The sequence below is a fragment of the Homo sapiens genome, chromosome 1 (genome assembly GCF_000001405.40).
Source record: "Homo sapiens chromosome 1, GRCh38.p14 Primary Assembly".
NCBI classification, from domain to species: Eukaryota; Metazoa; Chordata; class Mammalia; order Primates; family Hominidae; genus Homo; species Homo sapiens.
The window spans coordinates 63,835,018-63,843,867 of record NC_000001.11 but is presented as its reverse complement, the minus strand read 5'-3'; the positions used below and the strand labels follow the sequence as shown (position 1 = coordinate 63,843,867).

Here is an 8,850-nt window from a genome sequence, read left to right as displayed (position 1 = left end):
AGAGGGACCCACCCAGAGTTAGGGAAATCAGCTAAAAAGTTGTTGCAATCTTCCTATGAGCAATGTGCAGCCTGATCTAATGGTGCAAAGAAGGAACAGAGTGCAGTCGGGTCCCAGCAGCGGCTGCAGTGCTCTTGTCTTCTGCGGCTCTCCATGCCCTCTCCTTTTCACTTCTGGAAACATGGCCTCTGGTGTGGCTGTCTGATGGTGTCATGAACATGTTCAACGACATGAAGTTGCATAAGTCTTCAATGCCAGAGGAGGTGAAGAAGCTCAAGAAGGTGGTGCTCTTCTGCCTTAGTGAGGACAAGAAGAACATCATCCTGGAGGAGACCAAGAAGATCCTGGTGGGCGATGTGAGCCAGACCATCGACGACCCCTACACCACCTTTGTCAGGATGCTGCCAGATAAGGACTGCCACTACACCCTCTGTGACACAACCTACGAGACCAAGGAGAGCAAGGAGGAGGACCTGGTGTTTATCTTCTGGGTCCCTGAGTCTGCTCCCCTTAAAAGCAAAATGATCTATGCCAGCTCCAAGGACGCCGTCAAGAAGCTGACAGGGATCAAGCATGAATTACACACAAACTGCTACAAGGAGGTCAAGGACCGCTGCACCCTGGCAGAGAAGCTGGGGGGCAGTGCGGTCATCTCCCTAGAGGACAAGCCTTTGTGAGCCGGTTCTGGCCACCTGCCTGGAGCATCTGGCAGCCCCACATCTGCCCTCGGGGGTTGCAGGCCGTCCCCTTCCTCCCAGACCAGAGGGGCTGGGGGGATCCCAGCAGGGGGAGGGCAATCCCTTCACTCCAGTTGCCAAACAGATCCCCCCACTCCCTGGATTTTCCTCCTCCCTCCATCCCTGACGGTTCTGGTCTTGCCAAACTGCTTTTGATCTTCTTATTCCTCTTGGGTTGAAGCAAACCAAATTCCCCCCAGGCACCCCAGTTGTGGAGAGGGGCCTATATTTTTAACAACACCCCCACATCCAACCTGTTCCTCCCCCTTCCCATGCTGCCAACTTCTAACCACAATAGTGACTCTATGCTTGCTGTTCAGTTCTGTGTATAAATGGAATGTTGTGGAGATGACCCCTCCCTGTGCTGGCTGGTTCCTCTCCCTTTTCCCCTGGTCACTGCTACTCATGGAAGCAGGACCAGTAAGGCACTTTCGATTAAAAAAAAAAAGAAGGAGCAAAGGGAACAGATGCAAGATATATTTGTTGGGAGACATTCTCCATGAGTCCCTTCCGTTTCTGCACATCTTGTGAGCAAAGCACTGGCTGCCCTTGGTTCCAGACTAACTTTTCAAAGATGTTTATGTGGAGAGCAGCCTTGGAAGAAATGATCTCCCTCTGGAGCAAAGGTGAAGCATCTTTGTTGCCCAATATAAAAGATTTGGGTTCCCTAAGTTCAGAGTTTCTCTCCTGTAACGCAATGCACTTCATGTATGGATGTCACCTGGCCCTCTTCATGACATCCTATGGGAGTTGGGTCTTGGAGAAACAGTGAATAAATATGTTGATACTCTGGCTATTGCTATTGCTATGACTAATAAATTTCTTTGTCTCTAACCCACGAATCCTTCTGCCAGCATCTATGGAACTGTGGCAGGCAAGTTCATTTGCAAGTAAGATAAAGTCTCAAATCCTTCACAGTTCTTGATGATATTTAGGGGAAAAAAATCAGTAGGATTGGTGAATGGCCAAATGTAGAATGTTAGGGAGAAAAAAGGAATCAAATATTACTTCTGGTTTTTTTGTTTGTTTGTTTGTTTGAAGGTTGAAGTTTGGACAGTGGTTTGAATGGTTACTTTAGACAGTGGTGTCACCAACAGAGGTGAAATATATAACAGGTACAAGAATGTAATATATAATGAGGCATAGTGGGTGCTGGGGATGAGATAATAAATTCAGTTTGGAGGCCTATGAGACATCCATGTGGAAGTATCCAACATAGAGCTGAATAATGAAGGCAAAAGGAGAAGAGTTGGATTAAAGATATATAGGGGTCATTAGCATCAGGGCATAGGTAAACCCATGATATTGGATAAAATCCTCTTTCATACAGAAACCATCATATTCATCCTTAAACCCTTAGTCCCCTGCAGAGGGCTTTGCACAATGTATATGCTCAATAAATGTCTGTTAAATAAATGGCTAAAAACAGATCCAGAATTAGTTGTATCCTTTATTTAAATTAAAATTGCTTCAATGGTTACTTGTGTAATGCTAATCCAGGTTTTCTCAAATCAGAGTCTCAAATACAGGGTATGTACTTTTGTTTCACATGAAATACAACCAGTTTCATACACAAATAATTACAAACTCTTACATGTAACATGGAAGCAGAACAGAATTCTAAGACTCATAATATCATGTCATTAAAAAGCAATATTGTTGGTTTTCTTATTGGAGAAAAAAGTTCTATTATCCACAGGATCACTCCTACCTTCATTCATTCAACATAACAAAAAACTTACTGAGGACCTACTATGTTTAAGGAACAGTGCTGAAATCTGTAAGGGATCTAAAAAGCACAAAAGTCCCTTCCTTAAAGGAATTTACAAAAGCAGGGTGGTGGCACATACACCAGACCGGAATTTAGTTCCAAGTTCCACATTTAGCAATTTTATGACCTTGAGCAAGTTACTTAACCTCTACAACCTTTAGTTACTAAACTTGTAAAAAGAAAACAGTGAAAATGCATACCTCATAAATGGCAATGAGACGTACATTTTGTAATACATGTAGAGTATGTATTATAATACTCCATCAAAAATGGTGGCCAGTATTATAACCATCATGATAAACTAGTTGGGGAAGAAATACTCATAGAAATACTCATAGAAAAACCACTCAGTTAGAGATAATGCAGAACATTATAAATGCCATTGAAGTGCTAAAGCGCTAGAAACACAGACCCTTAGGAACCTGTTGAAAACAGTAGTAGTTAACACTGTGTTTTAACTTATTTAAACCAGCCCAACAAACCTATGAATGAATAGTATTATTCCCATTTTCTAGATGAGAAAACTGACACCTAGACAAGTCAAGTAACTTACTCCGGTTCACCCAGCAGAAAGTGGTGGGGCAGGAAATAAACCCAGTCTGTCTGGCTCCAGAGTCTGATGCCAAGCTGGCTCCTCAGGGAGAATCATGCATTTTTATGACTTATATGTTGAAGACAAAAGAACTGAACTCTTTGAAACTATTTGCCTTCAACTCACAACTATTATACAAATACTATTTACTCAGAATTGGAAGATTATTTTAAAATATCTAAACAAGGCCAGGTGCAGTGGCTCACACCTGTAATCCCAGCACTTTGGGATGCCAAGGCGGGCAGATCACCTGAGGTCAAGAGTTCGAGACCAGCCTGGCCAACACGGTGAAACCCTGTCTCTACTAAAAATACAAAAAAATTAGCTAGGCGTGGTGGCGTGTACCTGTAGTCCCAGCTACTCAGGAGGCTGAGGCAGGAGACTCACTCGAACCCCGGAGGCAGAGGTTGCAGTGAGCCGAGATCGCACCATTGCACCCCAGCCTGGGCAACAAGAGTGAAACTCCATCTCAAAAAAAAAAAAAAACTAAACGACAAGCAGAGAGACTTTTCTAGGTTAGCTCAGGTCCTATTTCACAGATTCTGAAAACTGTAAAGGGAGGAAGATTTAATGCTTCATACCAAACACAGTGTAAGACAAAATCACAGTGCATCATGGATGGATGCACAAAATCCAAAGTGACTCAAAGTGTAGGGCTTTGGGCTTAAAGCTCTGAGGCACCTTTATGAAATAAAATGACTCCATTTACCAACTCTCATTTCCTACTGTTCATAAGCACTTCCTTAAGCTTAATATATACTCCTCTCAGATGCAGAGTTTTGGGGGTTGTTTTTCCATTTCCATGAGAATAATGTAACAGACTGATGAGATATATTCAGCCACTGTGTTGGGCCACCTTGGATTTTCATCAAATTTTGTTTTATTTAATTTTCAAAGAAAATAATGATGAAATACCCTAAATATCCAATCACTGAGTGATGGCTAAATAAAAGAAATAAAAGAAAAGAAAAACAATATCTATAAAGACTTGGAAAAAATAGTATTATGTATTAAGTGAAAAAAAAGCTTGCTACAAAATAACATAGACAAGATGATTACATTTATGGATAAAAATGTATGCATAGGGCAAAAAAGCCTGCAAGGAAATGTACCCAAAATATTAAAAGTGATTTTTTGTGTGTTTATAATATGAGCCCTAGTCTTTCACTTTCTCAGTGTTTCTTTATTTTCTGAATTTTCTTTGGTACATATATTATTTGCACCTTTTTTAATTGCAATAAGCCAATATAAAAACAAAAAAAAAGTTCAATGTGCTATCCATTGCACTACAGAGCCTTCTTATACTTTTTAAATGTTTGGAATATTTGTATTACAGACAGATTAATGGATAAATAGATGCCAAATTAGATAGATAGATAGATAGATAGATAGATAGATAGATAGATAGATAGATAGATAGATGATATGGAGACAGACATTCTTTTACCAAAACATTACAGAACAGCTCCTCTTAGAAATATGGTCAAAATCTGGCTTCCCCGTCCAATTCAGCTGTCTCTTTCTTTAAACCAATCAACCATCTATTTCTTTAAGGTAAATGTTACTTAAAAGCATCTTAGATGGACAGATCTGACTTTTGAAGCCCTAAACAGAGGGTACAAGTAACCAATTAATGCATGAATTACAGCCATGCGTCACTTAACAACAGATATGTTCTGAGAAAAGCATTCTTAGTTGATATGCTTGTTGTCATGTGAACATCACAGAGCGTACTTACACAAACTTAGATGGTATAGCCTACTACACACCTAGGCTTTATGATATGGCCTATTGCTCCTAGGCTACAAACTTGTACAGCATGTTACCATACTGAATACTGTAGGCGACTGTCACACAATGGTATCTGTATAGCTAAACATACCTAAACATATAAAAGATGCAGTAAAAATACAGTATAAAAGATTAAAAATGTTACACCTGTAGAGAGCACTTATCATGAATGGAGCTTGCAGGAATTAGAAGTTGTTCTGGGTGAATCAGTGTGAGTGAAAGTGAAAGCCTAGGACATTACTATACACTACTGTAGGCTTTATAAACACTGTACCCCTAGGCTACACTAGATTTATAAAGTATTTTCTTTCTTCAATAGAAATTGGACAGCTTACTGTAACTTTTTTATTTTATAAACTTTTTATTTTTTTAACTCTGGACTCTTTTGTAATAATGCTTAGCTTAAAACATAAACACATTGTATAGCTGTACAAAAATATTTTCTTTATATCCTTATTCCATAAGCTTTTTTCTATTTAAACATTTTTAAGTTAAAAATTAAGACACAAACACACACATTAGCCTAGGCCTACACAGGGTCAGGATCATCAATATCACTGTCTTCCACCTCCACATCTTGTCCCCTGGAAGCTCTTCAAGGGGCAATAACAGGCATGGAGCTGTCATCTGCTATGATAACAATGCCTTCTTCTGAAATACCTCCTGAAGGACCTGCCTTCAGGTCCTTCAGGAGGCTGTTTTACAGATAATGTTTTATTTTAGAAGCAAAAGCAGTACACTCTAAAATAATAATAATAAAAAGTATAGTAAATACGTAGACCACTAACATAGTTGTTTATTACTATTATCAAGTATACTTACTATTATCACAAATATACTTACTATTATCATTATACAATTAGGTATACTGCATATAACTGGAGGTGCCATAGTTTTACAGGACTGGCAGGGCAGGTTTGTTTACACCAGCATCACCACAAACACATGAGTAATACACTGTACTACAACATTACAATAACTACAGCCTCTCTAGGAGTTTTTCAGCTCCATTATAACCCTATTGGACCACCATTTATATGCAGTTCTAACGCTGACTGAAAGATGATTATGCAGTGCCTGACTGTAGCTACCATACAAATGTGACAGGAAGAGTAACTTAGCTCATACACAATTACATACATACTTATTTTTTAAGAGACGGAATCTCGTTTCTGTCACCCAGGCTAAAGTGCAGTGGCACAATCACGGTTCACTGCAGCCTCAACCTCCTGGGCTCAACTGATCCTCCTACTCCAGCCTCCCAAGTAGCTGGGACTACAGGAACACGCCACCGTGTCCAGCTAATTGTTGTATTGTTTGTAGAAACAACGTCTCACTATGTTGGCCAAGCTGGTCTGGAACTCCTGGCCTCAAGCAAAGATACACACTTTCTTTTGACAGCCACAAACAATTAATTATCAATATAAATGTCAATATGACACACTGAAATTGCTTTTCAGAAAAGGTTATCCAAATTTAATTTTGTCAAAGAAAAAAACCTGCTCTACTGGCCAGAAAGTACTGAGTTCAGTCTAATGAAATGAGTAGAATAGGTACACAAACTACATAGGGAACTTTGAGGGCTGTTTCCATCTGGAAATGTGCATCATGTACACATTACTCCACATGCAACCAGTCATCCTTTAACCACTTTCAAAACACCAGCCATAACACAATCTGAAAAAGAATAATAGTATGCATATTTTTTAAAAGAATACAATTATTGGAAGAGCTTTGGGAAATGAATGCAGCCCTACTGTGGAGGTCAAATTCATACGTAGTAATAAAATGAAAACAAATCTGACATACTGAACACTTGTCATGTGGCTCTCACTGAAAGGGTAAGCAGAATTTTCAAAGCAGGATAGAAACTGGAGTTCAGTGGAAAGTACAGACGCTTGACTACCTTTCTTTATGGGGAACAGAAACATTCTATTAGCCCCCTGCTGCTTTGGCCAAGTTAAGCTCAGCCTCCCCTGCCATTCATCCAAGACAGGGAACCGATGTCTTGATGCTGGTTAACAGATAATTCAAACACGCACACACACTTCATCGCTATAAGAGGTACCTCTATGTGGTTGTCAGCCTTTAGCAATATCAACTCAACAGGCCCACAAGCTTTTTACAAAATAAACATAAATTAATTGGGAGACAAAGATGGAGGGATAGGAGGGGGCATTCTTAAAAAGATGGAAAGTCAATTGCATTAGTGGTCACAAAAGAACCAGGGGTGTTTTTGTTTGGCAGTGGAGCAGCTACATGCAGAATGTTAACCTCTTTAAATAAGGCATTGGTGATTTTAAGAAATTAATTTTAGGTCTGATTAGTGCCAAGTGCAGAATTTCTGCAAGAAGAAGTCATGGAGTAGAGAAAAATCTACAGTGTCTGTTCCTCTTTCTGTTTATAACCTCTGGACTTTAGTATCGTCTCTTGGGCTACCTGCAGAGGCCTTTTTATACTCATCAACTCAGAATTCCCCCCTGCTAATTATGAAATCTTAAGAAACTGGGTATAGGAAAACACAACTTTTGGTCATAACTTTTTGTTCCTATTTATTAATATATCCTAACTCACTTGGCATTCCACATCTATAGACACTATTTATGGTTCGTAAATTTAGTTTTTCCACTGGTTCAGATAAACAGGTCCTAAAAATGATTTAAGATGTGCTTTTTTCTACAAAGTCTCAAAAGCCATCAGACACTACAATGAGTGTGAATCATGGACGGACTATGGTGTTGAGGCTTAGGGCTTGGACTCTGGAATCAGGCAAACCTGGATTCAAATCCTGACTTTGTATGTCAAGTTGTGTAACTTTGAGCAAGTTCTTTAAGTTCAAAATGGTCCTGACCCCAGTGGGGCTATTGGGAGGAAGGAATGCAATAGTTTACAAAAAGCAAGCAGCAAATCTGAAAATCTACCTCTTGGGGCTACCTAAGGAACAATGTTTTCAAATTATAAAATCTCTGCTGGGAGACAATAGAATCAAGAAGAAAGAGAGTGTTTTCACTTTAGTCACTACACAAATTAAAGTTTCTGTGGGGCTAGTGTCAGCTTTACTTTAACCTAAATGTGTGACGTATTAACCACTCCCAAGCTCCATTTCCTCTAAAAGGAGACGGTTGTCTCAATGAAGCTCTATCAAGATCTGAATACTTGCAAAAATGAAATCCACATTACTGTGTGCACCCTATATTGTCCAACAACACAAGTGCCTTTTAACAATGAGATCATATTCTCTTTCTATCTACTTCTCCCATACTTTAGTATATTTTACTGCACTATGAGCTTCTCAAAAGGAAGGACAATGTCTTGCCTGTTGTTTCTACCCATAGTGCTTCTAACAGTATCTGGCACACGACTGATGACCGATGAATAAATGAGTGACTGAATCATCTCAGTATCCTCCCCAAAGGCACATAAATTTTGCACACAGTAGGTATCAAAATACGTTTGTTGGAAAAATGGATTTTAGCAAAACTGGGAGTGCCTTTATAGGTAGGGACTTCCTCTTACTCATCTCTGCAGCCCCTGGGCCTGGGCAGAACCTGGCACAAAAAGAAAGGAGGATCATCTAATCTTTTTGCTCTGGAGACATGCTGGCAATTGACCTACTCAAAAAGTAATTGGTAAGGTGTGTGTGGATTCCAGTTCCAGAAGGCTTTCTCTGTGTCTGGCACTGTACCAGATGGTTTGCATGATGTTTTCTTAACAGCTCTGAAAGGGATGAGTGACATCATTTTAAAATGAGTGAGCAAGGGCTCAGAGAGATTAAGTCACTTGCCCAAAATCACAAAGCTGATAAATAACAGAGCTGAGATTTAAAACCAGGCTTCTGGAACCTGTGCTTTTTCCATTATGGGAGGTTAAGAAAGAAGGGAAAGCACCAAAATAGATGGGACCACCTTATTTGAAGCTGTGTGACTTTAGGGGAGGATGGAGGAGGCAGCAACAGGTAA

General features: G+C 39.7%; 1 protein-coding gene and 1 pseudogene across 2 annotated transcripts in view; one reads left to right on the top strand and one right to left on the bottom strand.

Annotated features, from left to right (window-relative positions):
- The window catches only part of ROR1 (receptor tyrosine kinase like orphan receptor 1), a 407,482-nt gene that overhangs the window by 337,631 nt on the left and 61,001 nt on the right, over window positions 1-8,850 (bottom strand). The window lies entirely within an intron of this gene.
- CFL1P3 (cofilin 1 pseudogene 3) lies at window positions 101-1,177 on the top strand (annotated as a pseudogene).